At 38.7% G+C, this 17,436-nt stretch overlaps 1 long non-coding RNA gene across 1 annotated transcript, besides 4 other annotated features; it reads left to right on the top strand.

The window, feature by feature from the left end:
• The first annotated feature begins 9,897 nt into the window (after nucleotides 1-9,897).
• LOC124901362 (uncharacterized) lies at nucleotides 9,898-17,429 on the top strand. The gene is made up of 2 exons (XR_007059678.1): nucleotides 9,898-13,105; nucleotides 14,132-17,429. It is a non-coding gene; the product is annotated as an uncharacterized LOC124901362 (long non-coding RNA).
• Nucleotides 14,254-14,548: an enhancer, noted in NCBI's record as "tiled region #8521; K562 Activating non-DNase unmatched - State 23:Low". NCBI's record gives its function as "activates a minimal TATA promoter and a strong SV40 promoter by Sharpr-MPRA in K562 cells {active_cell/tissue: K562}" and the evidence as "EXISTENCE:reporter gene assay evidence [ECO:0000049][PMID:27701403]".
• Nucleotides 15,026-15,582: an enhancer, noted in NCBI's record as "OCT4-NANOG-H3K27ac-H3K4me1 hESC enhancer chr6:91205315-91205871 (GRCh37/hg19 assembly coordinates)". NCBI's record gives its function as "activates a minimal SCP1, AML or CMV promoter by ChIP-STARR-seq in primed H9 embryonic stem cells {active_cell/tissue: H9 hESC(primed)}" and the evidence as "EXISTENCE:reporter gene assay evidence [ECO:0000049][PMID:30033119]".
• Nucleotides 15,583-16,139: an enhancer, noted in NCBI's record as "OCT4-NANOG-H3K27ac-H3K4me1 hESC enhancer chr6:91204758-91205314 (GRCh37/hg19 assembly coordinates)". NCBI's record gives its function as "activates a minimal SCP1, AML or CMV promoter by ChIP-STARR-seq in primed H9 embryonic stem cells {active_cell/tissue: H9 hESC(primed)}" and the evidence as "EXISTENCE:reporter gene assay evidence [ECO:0000049][PMID:30033119]".
• Nucleotides 16,167-16,826: an enhancer, noted in NCBI's record as "OCT4-NANOG-H3K27ac hESC enhancer chr6:91204071-91204730 (GRCh37/hg19 assembly coordinates)". NCBI's record gives its function as "activates a minimal SCP1, AML or CMV promoter by ChIP-STARR-seq in naive and primed H9 embryonic stem cells {active_cell/tissue: H9 hESC(naive and primed)}" and the evidence as "EXISTENCE:reporter gene assay evidence [ECO:0000049][PMID:30033119]".
• Nucleotides 17,430-17,436: the final 7 nt, after the last annotated feature.

The raw sequence follows: 17,436 nt of genomic DNA, 5'->3' as shown, positions 1-17,436 counted from the left end.
CATTCTTAGAATTATGTAGTCAGATTTCAGTTTTACTATCTTTGCATTCATGGTTCCAAGTTTTATGTTTAGGAGGATTGAGGAAGTAGTATAGATTTCCTTGGCCTACACTGAACATTTCTTCCTATTGTGCTTTCTTTTTTATCCATATTAGAAAATTCCTTAACCTCAGTGCCTCAGACCATGTTCACTATCTCTCTATATTCACTAGGATGTAAGTTGGGCTGCTGCCCAAAATAATGGCTGAAACAAGTTAGCAGTTCTTTTTTTCTCATATAAAAAACTAAAGTAGTATAATTATATACATCTTCATTGCCGCCAAAGGGAAGAGGGAAAGGGTAGGAATTGTGAAGGTGCACATCATTTACACTCATATGTTTTGACCAGAACATAGTCAAATGGCCACTCCTAGCTGCAGAGAGGCTGGGAAACATCTCTATAATGGATAGCCACATGCTTCGCTTAGGAGATCAGATAGAGTTAAGTTACAGGTGGAGGATTGAAAGGTTATAGGAGACAAGAATAGCCTCTGCCACACTACCTTGGGAAGGAAAATAGGCCACTGCCTTGACCACTTCCTCCTTCCCCACTCTCCACAATAAAAGGGGAGCAGGAAAACCTGGCCTCTCACTAGAATGCACAAGTAACTTGCATCTTCATTAATGTAAAACTCTGATCAATATGGTGTACACATACCTGGAGATTTTCATGTATTTATAATTGATGCAGCTTGGAAAAATAAAACTTCAAAATGTGTTTTAAGTTGAAACACCTTAGCTGGAAACTAGATTTGAAATAATTTAAATATTCAGTATCAGACAGTGTCCCTTAGAAGAGAAACTTTGGTAGGAAGTCCATTATGAAAAGAAAACAAAATTTAACTTACAAGCATAAAATAGGTGTTAACAAACTTAGAGTTGTCAACAAAGACAAAGAGAAAGAAACTAACATTTATTAGGTGTATATTATGTTTCAGGCATTTCTTAAATGTGACCCTTGCTTTAGAGGTAAGCTGAAGCACAGAGGAGTTTGAAAGTTTGCCCAGGTAGTAAATTATGGACTCCAGTTCAAACCCAGGTCTTCTAAGCCTTAAGCCCTACAAAACTCTCACTTTTAATTAGTGTAGAACTTGGAGTGTATTTTCTTGTTAATAAAAGGGAAGAGAGCTAGATTCCTAGGCTCATTCACAAAAGTATATTTGGTCCTTAATATAAATGAAATAATAATGCAATTGAATGGAATAATTACAAAAGACTATGAGAGAAAATTAAAAAGTAAAGTGGTTAATGTCCAGATGTTGGCATTGTGGTGATTTTCCCCTTTTAAAAATCCTTTCCCTTCTTACTGTTTTCTGTGCAATAAAAATAAAAACCAAGAGGTGAGGAAGTCTTAGACAACACTCTGACCAAGTTTTATTGGCATGGAGAACTCCACAGGACAGCTTAATGGGCCAGGTACCCAGGCCCTTTGCCATGGACACAATTAGAGCCTTTGCCTTCATCCTACAAGAGCTGGAATTTCTCTTCCCACTATTGGCCCCAACCTGGATCCCTCCAGGTAAGGGTGGATCTGAAAGGAGGGGATTCTAAAGGTATTCCCATGGATTTGATGAGAGAAATTCTGCTCCCAGAGTTTGATGGGAGAAAGTACACATTCTGGGGAAATCCTGCTTCACGATGACAGTGTAGGACCAGGGATAAAACTTTTTTCCCAATTCCCCAAGTGATTCGGTTGCACAAATGTGAGAACCACCAAGACTTCTGGTTCCAAAATGGCAGCACAGAAGCAAGCTTGCTTTACTCCCCACCCCACTAACCCCCACACACAAAAAAAGACAAACATATAGTGCCGAGATTATCACCAGCAATATTCTAGAATTCAAATATAAAAAAGAGATAGTTCCCAGAACCATGGAGAAGTGAAAAGACTCCAAGTAGTCAGATAATTGGACCTCCATGTCCTCAATGCCCTTCCCCCCAAAATTTCACCCCTCAGCTCAGAGTTCTACATTGGAAAAGGAGATTAAGGTTAACAACCACCTTCCCCACCATCTTGAGTTCCCTGTCAGGAGACCTGTCCCTACCTCAACCCATGGGAAGCATCAAGAATGCCTGAAGGGAAAAATACCCCTGAGGTCATCCAAAGACAAAGGCAGGAGGCAAGCCTTGGCAGCTCTGTAACTCAGCCAAAAGAAACACCAAATCAGAGTGGCTTTTCGGCAGCATCAGGGTATATGAGGTTCATTCCACAGGCACCCTGGGCGTGAACCCCTGGCCAGCCTTCCACACTACCAAGATACCCCTTTGGGTACTTTTCCGTCCCCATTTGGGTGGGTGGCAAACCTGGGGTTAAGGCACCATCTAGTGCCAGAAAAGAGGCAGCGACTTAGTCAGGGGAAAATCAGTAGGTCGATGGCAAGAAAATCTCTAACAAACGTATCCAAAAAAAAAAAAAAAAAAGCCATACAGAGAAGATGAGTAAATAACTAATGCTTTGATGCAAAGACATAAATGTATATCCACAGGAAACATAAGCAAACAGGGAACTGTGACCCCCCAAACAGACAAAATAAGGAACCAGGACCCAAACAAGACTGTGATATGGGAACTCAACAAGAATGCAAAATAGCAGTTATAAGGAAACTCAGTGATTCTCAAGATAACACAGAAAATCAATTCAGAAATTTATCAGAGAAATTTAACAGAGATTGAAATAATAAAAAACATCTTGGAATTGAGAAATATTTGCTGAATTAAAAAATTCACTAGAGGCTTTCAACAGCAACATAGATCAAGCTGAAAAAGGAATTCAGTGAGCGCAAAGATAGCCTGTTTGAAAATAGAGGAGAAAAAAGAATGTAAAAGAATGAAGGTAACATACCAGATATAGAAAATTACCTCAAAAGACCAAATCTAAGAATTATTGGTGTTCAAGAGGGAGTTGAGCAAGAGCGAGGGGTAGAAAGCTTATTCAAAGAAATAATAACAGAAACCTTTCTAAAACTTGAGTAAGAGATAAATAGGCAGATACGGGAAGGTCAGAGAACACCAAACAGGTTCAACCCAAATAAGACTACCCCAAGGTATATAAGAATCAAACTCTCAAAAGTCAAGGACAAAGTCCAGGCACGTTGGCTCATGCCTGTAATCCCAGCACTGTGGGAGGCTGCGGCGGATGGATCGCTTGACCCCAGGAGTTCAAGACCAGCCTTGGCAACATGGCCAAACCCTGTCTCTACTTAAAATACAAAAAAAAAAAAAAAAAAAAATTATTAAAATACAAAAAAGTTAGTTGGGCATGGTGGCATGCACCTGTAGTCCCAGCTACCTGGGAGGCTTTGATAGGAAGGTCACTTAGTGCAGGAGATGGAGGTTGTAGTGAGCCAAGATCATGCCACTGGGGTGATCTTGTAAGTGGGGTTACATCAAGCTAAAAAGCTTCTGCACAACAAATGAAACAATAAAGATACAACCTACAGAATGGGAGAAAATGTTTGCAAACTATTCCTCTAATAAGGGATTAGTAACCAGAGTACACAAGGAGCTCAAACAACTCAATAGGAAAAAACAATACAATTTTAAAATGGGCAAAAGATCTGAATATACATTTCTCAAAGACACACAGGTGACAAATGGGTATATTAAACAATGCTCAACCTCACTAATCATCAGAGAAATGCAAATCAAAGCCACAGGGTAATATCATCTCACCCCAGTAAAAATGGCTTTTATCAAAAAGGGAACAGTTTGGTGAGGATATAGAAAATGAGGAACCCATGTGCATTTTAGATAGAAATGCAAATTAGTACAGCCACTATGGAAAACTGTACGGATGTTCCTTAAAAAACTGAAAATAAAGCTACCATGTGACCCAGCAATTCCACTGCTGGGTATATACACAAAAGAAAAGACATCAATATATTGGAGAGAGATCTGCACTCACATGTTTATTGCAGCACTCTTCAAATAGCCAAAATATGGAATCAGCCTGAGTGCTCATCAGCAGATGAATGGATAAAGAAAATGTGGGATACAGAGTAAATGTAAAACTCTAAATTATTAAGTTAATGCCAAAGTAATTGTGGTTTCTGTCGTTACTTTTAATGGCAAAAATCGCAATTACTTTGGCACAAACCTAATTTTAGAGATACACTATAATTAGGTTTATCACAGCATTGAGTAAAGAGAAAAAGACAAATACTCATTAATCAGGGTTAAATAAGTTATAATAGAGCTACACCATGTAATACTATGTAGCCATTAAAAGGCATGATATAGTTCAATTGGTGAAATCTGTCCATATTGAATCCCTTAAAATATTAAAAGATTGACACACCAAGAAGCAGGGTTTATAATACAAATGCAACATTTTCATTCATTATGTATTCATTATGTAACGTTAATTATGTAAACAATTATGTAAGCAATGTGGTGAATTATGTAATCAATTATGTGACATATTAATTAAACAATTTAGAGAAACTACACAGTTATATCAATAGATGACCAAATGACATTTGATAATATTCACAAATAAAACAGGATTAAAATGAAATTTCCCAAACTTGATAAAGAACACTCAACAAAACCAACAGCATATTAATTAGTGAAAATGACTACTATCATTTTTTAATTAAACGTGAAATAACTAGGGCCTGAAACAAAGCAGAGATTCACTTTCTATCATCATCTAACATTTTTTAAAAGTTTCAGCTCGATGAAAAAAGCCCTCAAAAATGAGAATAGTTAGTAGTGTAAATGATGGAAATTAATTTTTTTGTTTGCAGGATATAAAATTGTATAGTTCATGAGACTCTGCTTAAATACTGTTAGAATTAATAAGAATTTGATAAAGTGACTATCTGATATATATCAAAATCAGTAGTTTTTCTTTATAATAATCGGAAGTAAAAAATGATATTTTTAAAAACTTAGTGGCAAGAGCAGTAAAATTATAAAATATGAAGAAAAACATTTATCAGGAAATAGAAAGGGCTGAAGAAAAGTAAAAAGGCTTCGAAAATAATGTAAAACAAGACCTGAATTTAACATTTTCCTAAATGATAAGACAATATTAAATATTTGGTGTAGATATACGTGCATATAGATTATGGATTTGTTTAAAGTAATTTCAATTGGAAATCCAATGGAGTTGAGATTGGGTTTATTTTGAACTGGACAAAATGATTTTAAAGTTCTTAAGAAATAAATGCTCAAAGGTTGAGGTATAATTTATATGCAAACTGTACATTTAAAGTGTACAATTTGATAGGTTTTGACAAAATGTATTCTCCTGTGAAATGACCACAATCAAGAATGTGAGAGTTTCCCCAATCCCAAAAGATTCCTTGTTCCGTTTGATAATCCATCTCTCCTCCACCCTCATCCCCAAGCAACTACTGGTCTGCTTTCTATAACTGTAATTATTTTGCATTTTATAGAATTTCATCTTACAAGATTTAGTCTCTTTTTGGCTGACTTTTTCACTCAGCATGATTTGATATTCACCCAAGTTATTAACATATATTAATAGTTTCTTCCTTTTTAAAAGCAGGATTCCATTGTATCGATGTAACAAATTTTGTTTATCTAGTCACCTATTGATGGATATGTTGAGTTATTTCCAGTTTGGCACTCCTACAAAAATAGAGTTGATATTAATGTTTGTGTACAAGTTGTTATGTAGACATGTGTGTTCATTTCTTTTGGGTAAATACTTAGAATAGCTGAGTTTTATGATAGGTATATGTTTAACTTTTCAAGAAACTTCCATACCTTTCCAAAGTACTATGTAATTTTATATTCCCAGCAGCAGTGTATGAGAGTTCCGTTTGCTCCATATCCTTGCCCACACATGGTATAGTCAGTCTTTTTCATTTTAACCATTCTAATAGGTGTGTGGTGGGACCTTATTGTGGTTTTAGTTTGCATTTCCCTGATGACTACTTTTAGCCCCTTGGCATGTGTTTATTGGGCTTTTCTTTCATATAATTTCTTTGGTGAAGTGTCTTAAAATATTTTGCCCATTTAAAAAAATTGTGTTGTTTCCTTTCTTCATATTGAGGTGTAAGACTTTGGTATATTCTTGTTACAGTTTGTTGTCTGATATCTGTGCTGTGAATATTTTCTTTTCTGTTTGCCTTTCTATTTTCTTACTGATATTTTTCAAAGAGAAAAAGGTTTAATTTTTATGAAGTCCAATTTATTAATTTTTTATTTTAAGCTTCCTGTGTTCTGTTTTAAAAAATCTTTGCCTACCCCTCACAAAGATTTTTCCTTCTGTTCCTTCTAGAAGTTACTTATTAGGTTGGTGCAACAGTAATTACTTTTAATGGCAAAAACCACAATTGCTGTTGCACCAACCTAATAGTTGAGCTTTTACATTTTGGTCTGTGATCCGTTTTGAGTATTTATTATATTTGGTTTAAGGTAAGAATCAATGTTCATTTTTTTTCCATACAGATATGCAGTTGTATTCCAGCACTATTGATTGACTTTCTTTTCCTCATTGAATTGTCTTATTTCTTTTGTTGAAATCAGTTGACCATGTGTATATGAGTCTGTTGGTGAATTCACTATTTTTCTCCATTGTTGTAGCTTTTTCGTGTTGTAGCTTTATAGCACCTCTTGAAATCAGTAATGTAAGTTCTCCAATTTTGTTCTTTTTAAAAAATTATTTAGCAATTTCTGCAAAAATTTTAATATCAGCTTGTTAATTTTTACCAAAAAAAAAATGTCTATTGGGATTTTGATTGGGATTGCCTTAAATGTATAGACCCAAGTTGGGGAAAATTGACATCTTAACAATGTTGAATTTTCCAATCTATGAACATAGGAATTTTCTCCATTTAGTTAGATCTTTTCTAATTTCCCTCAGCAATGTTTTGTAGTTTTTAGTGTAGAGATCTTGGACTTGTTTTGTTATAGTTTTTACTTAGAAAGTATTAATATATTATTAATTTTGTTACATTTATTATATATTATATATGATAGTAGATATATAATAGATAATGTAATATGTTATATAATATCTATTATTATATTATATATAATTATATTATTTTGTTGTATTTATTACTTAGAAAGTATTAAATATAACAAAACAAGCCTCGATTAAAAGTAAAAATATACCCTTGGACACAACATTCCTACTTTGAAAAATCTATAGCCTTAAGAATATCTGTATGTAAAGACATAGATACCAAGAAGTTATTTGAAACACTGTGTATAATGGCCCCCAAATTTTTTATTAAAAAAATAACCTCAACAAGAAAAATGTCTATCAGTAGGGGAAAGATTGAATCAATTATGGTAAATTAATGTTTTTTAAAGGAATGCATTCAATCTATATACAGAGATCTAGATGGATGTCTGTGACCTATTGCTACATGAAAATAGGACATTGAAGAGCAAATATACTATTTAGGTCAAAAAAAACTGTTAAGCAAGACAAAAAATTATAATATGACATGCATATGAATACAGAAAACAAGAGAGAAGGATACTCTTAACAGTGTTTATCCCAGGAAGGGTGGATGGTGATGGAGAGCTTATTACCATTTTTCTTATACATTTCTTAATCACTTGACATAAAAATACATGGTGTAGGCATTATAGCATATATAATACAAGTGACCCTGATATCAACCTGCTATATTTACCACAGTCTGTAAATAGTGTGGCAAAGAATCTAACATTTTGAGGAGAGATGTGAAGGAAGGAGAGAAGACACAAGAGCCCAGCATAATGAATCAGTCGGTAACCATTGAGAGGGAACAAATTGTGACTAGCAGTTTTCCAGATTATTCTACAGTAATAGCCACCGACATATACGTGAATCATAAATCTTTCTGCAGCCCAATAAGGTTTTCAATCTGAAGCACGCAAGGAAAGCTACAGGAAGTGGTATTGTCTCTTTTGAGGGAAAGAAATGGAGGCACATTCATTAATCTCTGAGAAACAAATCTCAATCTCTGCCTGCCTTGGAGACACTTAGTTTATGGAGTTGTCAACAGACTCATCAACAGAACACACACATGAAACCTGTGTAGACAAAAGCACCTTTATGCCTAACTGATCAGACACTGAAACTGGGAACCAAAGGAGCATGTCATCTTCATGCTCACATACCTTTAAGAGCAGAGTGAAATGGCCTTTAAACTTTGCTTAGTCATTCATTCAAACAGATAAGGGGAAAGTTTCCTGCTGTGCTCTTGTTCAGGCCTTGCCAATAGATGACACTTGCCAGCCACTTGGGGACATCACAGCAGACCAGAAAAATTACCCTAGAGAGTTACCTTAGTTTTAAACATGGCTTAGCATATTTGCACATTTGGGAGGCATCGGGTTAATCTACTTTTTCCCATATTAGCCATGCCAACTATTGCAGTTAAAACTGCATACTCCTAATTTAGGTGACTTTATGTTAAAATCAACAGAAATCACACACTCTTTGGGTTGGTCTATAAATCAAAAATATAGGAAATATGCATTTTTTTCTTGCCTAAACAAGCTTGTAGCTGAGCCAATTTTGCTGCCTGAAATGTTTAAGCATTGTTGCTATAATTGGTCCTTAGAGCTTCATTCCTTAGTGCTTCATTTAGGATTTCAACAACCTGCCATTCCCCGTAAATAACAACCTGTCATAATGACAAATGTGGAGGTGGTTGGTCCGAAATGCAAAGTATTCAAGCAGGCTGTTGTAGCAGACTGTTCCGTGGATAAGCAAGAGGCAGGTTCATCAAAATGAAACAGCCAAGTTTGCCCCAACTCAGAGACAATTCTTTGATTATTTGAGAGAAAAAATGTCTTATTTTGTACTTTTTTCCTTTTATTTTTTGTTTTGTTTTGTTTTGTTTTTTGAGACAAGGGCTCCCTCTTGCCCAGGCTGGAGTGCAGTGGTATAATCACGGCTCACTGCAGCCTCAGCCTCCTGGACTCAAGTGATCCTTCCACCTCAGCCTCCCACATAGCTGGGACTACAGGCACATGCCACCACACCCAGCTAATTTTTCAATTTTTTGTAAAAACAGAGTTTCCCTATGTTGCCCAGGCTGATCTCAAACTTCTGGGCTCAAGTAATCCTCCACCTTGGCCACCCAAAGAGCTGGGATTACAGGCTTGAGCCACCATGCCCGGTCATTATTTTATACTTTCAAAAAGCCAAATGGGACCACTAATTAAATATTTATTACTTAAAAGATCTCCTTTACCACCTTTGTTCCAAATTCTCTTATACTGCTGGCAGTTAGGAGTGGGGCATTTTATTAACCACTAAAATGTGACCTTTCATCTCACAAGACTGTCCCTCTTTTAAGCTGATTTTGAGAACATGTGGATATGCTCCCTTTAATTGCTTTTATGAATAACATTTTTAGTGATCCTTTTATGTGTCTATATACACATATACACACACATATATGTAAATGTGATTTACATATGTATACGCAGAGGAACAGCCCAGATCCAATTCCAAATGCCTGTAATCTTTCAGTATTGTTAATGTTATCATCTCCATTCTCCACTAGGGATAATTCATTTCCTCTGTTACACATACTTCAGGTGTTAATGATAAAAATGTATCAAATGGTGGGAGAGGCCAGGCATGGTGGCTCACGCCTGTAATCCCAGCACTTTGGGAGGCCGAGGTGGGCAGATCACGAGGTCAGGAGATCGAGACCATCCTGGCTAACACAGTGAAACCCTGTCTCTACTAAAAAAATACAAAAAATTAGCCAGGCATGGTGGCGGGCACCTGTAGTCCCAGCTACGTGGGAGGCTGAGGCGGGAGAATGGCATGAACCCGGGAGGCAGAGCTTGCAGTGAGCGGAGATCACGCATGCCACTGCACTCCAGCCTGGGCGACAGAGCAAGACGCCTTCTCAAAAAAAAAAAAAAAAAAAAGTTGGGAGAAAAATAGAATTAATGTGAATTTGTTTATTCCTCCTTTTAGAAAAGATTCTAAATCTTCTCACATTTACAACAGTATTAACATAAATTCTTCACAGTCATCTTGAAAACATTACCTTGATTTAAGAATCAGTAAATATCCTGGGAACAAAGGTAAGGGTCAGGTTCCCAGTGGAAGATCTCTAGGACAGCAGGAAGAGTCCTTGTGCCAAGTTACTGCTACTCTGTAAAGGGATGTGTTGGCAATACCAGCTCACTGGCAAGTCTCTCGGATAAAATGGCAGGGTAGCATTCCCAGATACAACATATGACCCATTGTAAGTCTTGTCGTATAAACCTGAGGGACACTGAGAAAAACAGCTGCTTCTAAACATAAGTAAAAATTGAACTTAATGCTGTAACCACCATAAATTGTAGGATTATTTATGTAAAACCATAAATGTACGCTACGACTAAATGAGTCATTTACAGAATATCCCTTCAGTTATTAACGTGGCATAAATACTAATCCCTGAAGATTAAGTTGAACACTAATCACTTTGAACATTCAAGGACCTTTTGTAATCCCGAGTTTCGTATTTCCATATGGTAATTTCCCCTGTGATAGCCGAGTAGGGCGGATCATTGCCACGTAAGCAATAATGCATGACAAGGCATGCTGTAACAAGGAATGGGGTTTCCATCTTTTCTCCCAGTCCCCCCGCTCCACCTTCATTCCCAATGTGAGCTTAATTAAAACTCCTCAGAACTTGGCTCTGTTTAACACAAGGGCAAAACAAGCCCAGAAATGCTGACAAGTTCTTCCACCTCTGCCTGCTGGGTCAGCTCATTAAGGGTCATGATTTTATGGCACATGCATGGTGGCCTGGCCACAGGTTTGGAGAAGCCTCAAACCAAGAAGCAGAATACAACTTAGTAAACTAACAATTTGCCTTACTTTTTAAATGTCTTTTAATGATGAATTTTAATTTTTAAGATAATTCATGCACATAGTTTTTTAATCAATTTTTTTTACAAAATGAGCAGCTGCTGTCCAACCTCCTGCTCTGAAACCATTTCTTCTGTTTACCCATATGTGTAAATAACATGCTTATACTGCTGTTTCCTCATTTATCAATTTTGCACACCAATATTTTGACTAAACCATTTCTCAAACCATTTCTTCTATTTACCCCATATTTGTAAATAACATGCTTATACTGCTATTTCCTGATGTATCACTTTTGCACACCAAATTTTTGACTAACACGATAGTAATGGAGGATTTAGCTGGTTAACGCACACCTCTGCCATCTCCTCTACCCTTTTATCCCTATAGAACTGGATCACAATGTTAGAGTCGATCACAGTAAATATTGCATTATTATTTTATAATATCGAGCTTATGACTATATAAATTATGTTTACTGCTGATTCAAGTAATGTATTACTGTGATTGCAATGGTCTGAATGTTTCTGTCCCCCCAATATTTATATATTGAAATCTCAATCCCCAAGGTGATGCCATTTGAAGGCAGGACCTTTGGGAGGTTGATTAGTTTATGAATGTGGAGCCCTGGTGAATGGGATTGGTTCCCTTATAAAAAAGAGACCCTGGAGAACTCCCTCACCCTTGTACCATGTGAGGACACAGTGAGAAGATGGCAACTATGAACCAGGAAGCATGTCCTCACCAGAAGCCAAGTCTGCCAGAACTGTGTGAAATAAATTTCTGTTATTTATAAGCCACCTGATCTATGGTATTTTTTTGTAAAAGCCTGAATGGAATAAGAAAATAATTATATTGCCTTTCTCTTAAAATTATTTGTTTTCTCCTAGTACCTTTTTCATTTGCCTATAGATTTATCACCTTTTTAAATAAGTGCTTCAACGCATGTGTCACCCACACCTATCAATAATTTTTCAACACCAGACTGCTCAAACACCAGACCTCTCAGATCCATTTCTCCTGCAAAGACATCTTTCTGCAGCTGCCCCATGCAATTCCTCCATCTCCAATACAAACTCTCTCTAGGCCGGTGCTGAGCTATCATCTTGTGACTTCCTTTTGCTGTTTTCCTGGGATGGATCCCTATTTCCTGGATTTCATGTCTTTCTTTTTCATGGCTTACTCCTTCATTCACTGATTTTGCCCAGTGGCTTCATCAGAAAGGGCACAAGTGAGGTAAATTTTTAAATTCATTATATGTCTGAAAGTATCTTTATTCTACACCAGCTGCCCTGTGGCCCCTTTATTTCTTTCCCCCAAGATGCACCCAAGTTCTGCAATCCCTGCCTTCTTGCTCAGCTGTTTTTGGTACCATTTTAGGCTTCAGGGACTGGTCTTTTCAGCATTTAAATGTCCATCCTATTACCAGTTAAGGAAATTCTTGCCTTATTGTTATATACTTGCCTTTAAAAAAAAATCCTTGGGCTTTTTCTGTACAAGGACATGGATTGGGATGACAGGAGGGAGAAGGTACAAGTGAAGAACTCAGTGGCCTGAAATCGACTCTCTTTGGACTATGAGGACTTGGCCATTTTCCACAACAGAGAGTGTAGAGGAATGCTGTCTTGTGCTGCCGTGGGCCACAAGGTGTGGTGGCAGGTCTCATATGCTCCAACATCTGGCCATGAAGAATCATGGTTGGTCAATCTCAGAGGGAGGAATGAGCTGTAAACCTATAAGAAAATCAACACCATTATTTCCCTAAAGTATCCAAAGCAATTCTATGTACTTCTGACAAGGAAACAGGAAGGAGAATCTAGAGTGCTGCTCAAATTAAAGGGAAAAGGAGAAGAAAGATTATTGGCTACCACCATCTCTCTCACCCTTACCCCTTGCCTACCTCACTCTGTAGAGGCTAGAAACACAAGATTTGCACTTCCGGCTCCTGTTGCAAATCAGAGTAGCTGAGTGACCCACATTTGGCCAATGAGTACTTGTGGGGCAGGCTGCTGGGAGGCTTCTGATGGAGCCTTCTTTTTCCAAACAATCAGGCAGAGGCTTGGGAGGAAGCAAGCTCTTGCTCCCACCTGTCCTTCCTTTTTAGGATGTGCTGTGAGGACCTAATGTCTGCAACTATCATGTATGAAGGTGACAAAGAGCCCAAATGCGGCTGAAGGAGTGGAGAATGGGAATGACCTCGATGAGCTGCACCAGCAATCCTGAGATCACACATCTAACTTCTTAAGGAAGCAATAAATGTCCCTTTGCGGTAAGCTACAGCAACTCAGGTTTTCAGCCACTAGTAGCTGAAAGTATGCCTAACTGATGCCAGGAGTCAAGGAGAGCCCTTCCTATACCACCATGTCCCTGCCGTGATTGTTCATGTGCTTGGCTCAGTCCTATCCACAGATGGGGGATGTGGGCCATGCAGGGACTTACCATCAGCTTCTCTGTACTGCTCCTCTGACTCTGAGCTTGTACCCTCATAGGATGACTACTTCCCTTTAAGGTTGGAGTCCTGCCTTGATCTTGCCCTTGCTGGCCCTAAACCCACCAATGCCCCTCATGGAATCTGGAATTTTATACACCCCATTCTATTGGTAAGGACCCTCTTAGCAGCTCACCCATCCTTCTTGGGCTGGGCAATTCCATGCTTGTCTGGACAAATATGGTCTGTTCCCAGATGTCCCATCCAGCAGCTCATGAGACTCTGTCACCCTCTGGTGGACCTTTCCAAGGTCAGCTGCTTGCCTGAATGATCACACCATTACCTTCTACTGAGCACCTTGCTCTCTGGACACTAGAGTCCTCCTGCCTGGATAAACTTCTATCCTGACCTTCAGCTGAGTTTGCTGACCTTTCCTTCCCCAACCCTTGTTTAACCCCAGAGAGGTGCCTGGCTCCATGTCTTGCCCCCTGAGTAACATCGTAGTACCCAGCAGATGGCATCTAGGCCAAATGACTTTATCACTTACATGGCTTCTAGTCTGATTAAATCCCTCATTCTATTACCCATTATATTTAAGTTATAACTACTTCTACTTTTTCAGGTGAGCAGAGTATAATTGCTCAATAAACTGAAGGTTAATCCAAAAGTGGATAGAATAAAAAATGTCTCTATCATGTAGGTTTTGCTTGAAGAAAAAAAAATCATCCCCCCAAAAAATACTTTCCATTCCTAATTATTCCTAATACTGTCCCAGATTCTTTTATATCAATTAAAGGCTTAATTGATATGAAAATTAAGTTTAAGCTATAATGTCAGGGAATGTTCTTTTTTCCTTTCTTTTGATAGGTGGTGATTTTTTTCAAACAGGCTAGGGATTCAAGAGAATATTTTTATCTGTTCGACCAACATCATGGCTATGATAACCGGACCAAGGTTCCCAAGGCTATTGTGGCTCCAGAAGGATGTGTTTTGCTCCTGTGGGTGACTGGAGTGTGCTCCCCTGACAGCAGCAGTCTTCCTGGGCCCGAGGTCGACTGACCTGTCTTCACTCAGCAGACAAAGGAGTAGGTGGGGTTGTGCAGACAGGAGGTCCCAGCAGCCGCAGCTGCACAGCTCCTGTTGTTTCCCCTTCCTCAGATGGGATTTCTTGCTGATGCAATTACCAGCCACTGTTCTGAGTGTATTACAAGTATGAACTTCGTGATCACAAGATCTTTCTGAGTTAGGTAACATTATTATCCCCAGTTTACAAATGAGGATACTGACGGAGTTCAGAACACGCTACCCCAGAATACGTCATCTTGTCATACTATATATTTTAGACTTGAAGGAAATTGAGAAAACCGTAAAAACAGAAGGTCACGCTCTGATCTTCCCTCACCCTCTTTCCCCTGAAATGGGCCATTAAACCTCACTGACCTTCCCCTGAAAATCGGTCGTAAAACTCTCATTTCAGAAGGGCCCTCCCTATACCCGGAAGAAAGGAAAGAAGACAAGAGAAGACTGAACAAACAGGCCTTGCTAAATTCCACCCCCCACTCCCGCAGTCTATTACCATTAGACCGTAGCCTTTTGTCCTCCAGACATACTTCCGTACAACTATCCATAAAAATACAGAGCCCCCTCTTACTCATGGAGATACATTCCAACATCCCTAGTGGATGCTTGAAACCATGGATAATACTGAACTGTATATACACTGGGGTTTTTTCTGTACATACATACCTATGACAAGTTAAATGTATAAATTAGGCACAGTAAGAGATTAACAGCAATAACTGATAATAATATAGAAGAATAAGAAAAATATAACTAATAAAAGTTATGGGAAGGTAGTCTCTCAAAACATTTTAATATACTCACCTTCTCCTTGTGATGAGGTGAATACATTGGACAAAGGGATGTTTCACATCCTAGGTGAAACTCAGAAGAGTGCAGAGTTTAAAACATGAATTGCTTATTTCTGATTCCAGAAATTTTCCACTTAATACCTTCAGGCCATGGTTGACCTCGGGTGACTGAAACCATGGATTAGGGAAGACTACTACACCCATATTTCCCTGTTTCTTGAAGTCTTCATTTCTGAAAGCTCCCTTGCCACATAAAACTTATATTAAACAAGTTTGTATGCTTTTCTATTGTTTATGTTCATTTGTTTTTAGACTGGGTCTCACTCTGTTGCCCGGGCTGGAGTGCAGTGGCGCAATCTCAGCTCGCTGCAGCCTTGACCTCCTGGGCTCAAGCGATCCTCCCACCTCAGCCTCTCTAGCAGCTGGGACCACAGGCGTGTGCCACCACACTTGGCTAATTTTTTGTATTTTTTGTAGGGCTGGGGTTTCACCACATTGCCCAGGCTGGTCTGCAACTCCTGAGCTCAAGCAATCCGACCGCCTCAGCCTCCCAAAGTGCTGGAATTACAGGCTTGAGCCACCGTTCCTGGCCTTTTCTCTTGTTAATCTATCTTTTGTTATAGGCGTCTCAGCTGTGCACCTGATGGGTGAGCAAAATACTATGTTTGCTCCCTACCACACAAAGCCATGGGGAGGTGAAACAGTTTGCCTAATGTTACTTAGCTAGTGAGTGGCAGAGGTGGGATCAATGTGGGCAGTTTAGCTCTGGACTCAACATTATGCTGAGGTCTGAACACCACTCCAGGGGAGATAATAGGTGAATGTTTTGAGAAAATGTAAAGGTCCTGAAAAACATTGAAATGAATTTTTTTTCTGAATTTTTTTTCCCCAAAAGAGTAAAAACATTGGCCAGCACTTATAATCTGAGCATGAGATGTTCATTAGAATTATAATATCTTGATTAAGAAATCAGTTATAAACTGACAGTTTTCAGATTAAAGAACTGGAAATGTGATCACGAAAAATGAGGGAAAATTTTCTACTAAAAAGCATTTCAACGTTTTCCAATGTGTTCTCTTTACAAAGGAAAGTAATGGTGAGAGGCTTGTTCACCACTGAAAAGTTTGGAGAACTAAAACATAATTCAAATTTTATAAGGATGGAGATATTCTGAAAAGTGGGAAGAGGCAAGCACTTCAATAAGGGGCAGTATCTCTGGGAGATGGAAACGAACATCCTCAGGAAAAAAAAGAGAGGGGGTTAAACAAGAACTCAAGGGAAAATTGAGGAGCACCACTTGCATTCTAATTCATTTCTCTTGAAAGAATTCATTAATTTACTCAGGCGCATGTACTAGTGACACCAGAACAAATGAGTTTCTGCCCTAAGGAATTCGTTACTGAATGGAAAAAATTCAGGGGGATAAAGCAAGCTGTGGCCACCCACTGTGATATGCACTGTGATAGAGTTAGGCTCAAAGTGCTGGAAGGTGCTTCAAAGTCAGGCAGTATTAGAGCCTGGAGCCAGGACAACATCTGGAAGAAAGCGATGCCTTAGCAGAATGCTGAAGATTGGAGAAAACTTGGCCAGGCAAATATGGGGAAACATTCCCAAGGAGGAGCAGATTGTTCCAAGGCCTGAAGAAAAAGAGCTCACCTCTTGAACTTTCTACGGCTACAGCAGAGAGTGTGAGGTGGGCAGAGGGAGAGACGAGCCAGGGGACCTGGGGAGGGACTAGGTCGTGGAGCCTTGTGTGTCCCCTGTAGGGATATGGACTAAATTGACAGCCCCAGGGAGCCTTGGTCACCATTGTCCTTCCCTGTAGCTGCTGTGATTGTGCCCCTGCGGGCCATTTCCACAGAGCAGGAAGAATGAACTTGAGAACAGATAGACTGTTCTGTCATGGTATTTCCCAAGGCATTTGGGGTAAGACTGGGGACATGTTGCATGGCCTACAAAGCTGTACCACATCTGGCCCCTGCCTCCCCTTCAGTTCCACCCCATACCCTCTTCCTCTTGCCAGGGACATGTTCTTCTCTACATCCTTCTCCTAGCTAGCTCTTGCTCAGTCTTTAGGTCTCAGCTCAAAACCATCCTTGATCCCCAATCTAATTTAAGCCCCTTGTTATACATTTTTTTTTAATTGAGATGAAATTCACATAACAGAAAATTAACCATTTTAAAGTACATAATTCAGGGTGGCATTTAGTACACTCAGATTGTTGTACAACTACCATTTCTATTTAGTTCGAGAATGTTTTCATCACACCAAAATAAAACCATATACCCATTAAGCAGTCA

This window comes from Homo sapiens, chromosome 6, assembly GCF_000001405.40.
Source record: "Homo sapiens chromosome 6, GRCh38.p14 Primary Assembly".
Classification (NCBI taxonomy): Eukaryota; Metazoa; Chordata; class Mammalia; order Primates; family Hominidae; genus Homo; species Homo sapiens.
Note: the sequence above shows the minus strand (reverse complement) of the source record. Positions and strands in the feature narration are given on the sequence as shown.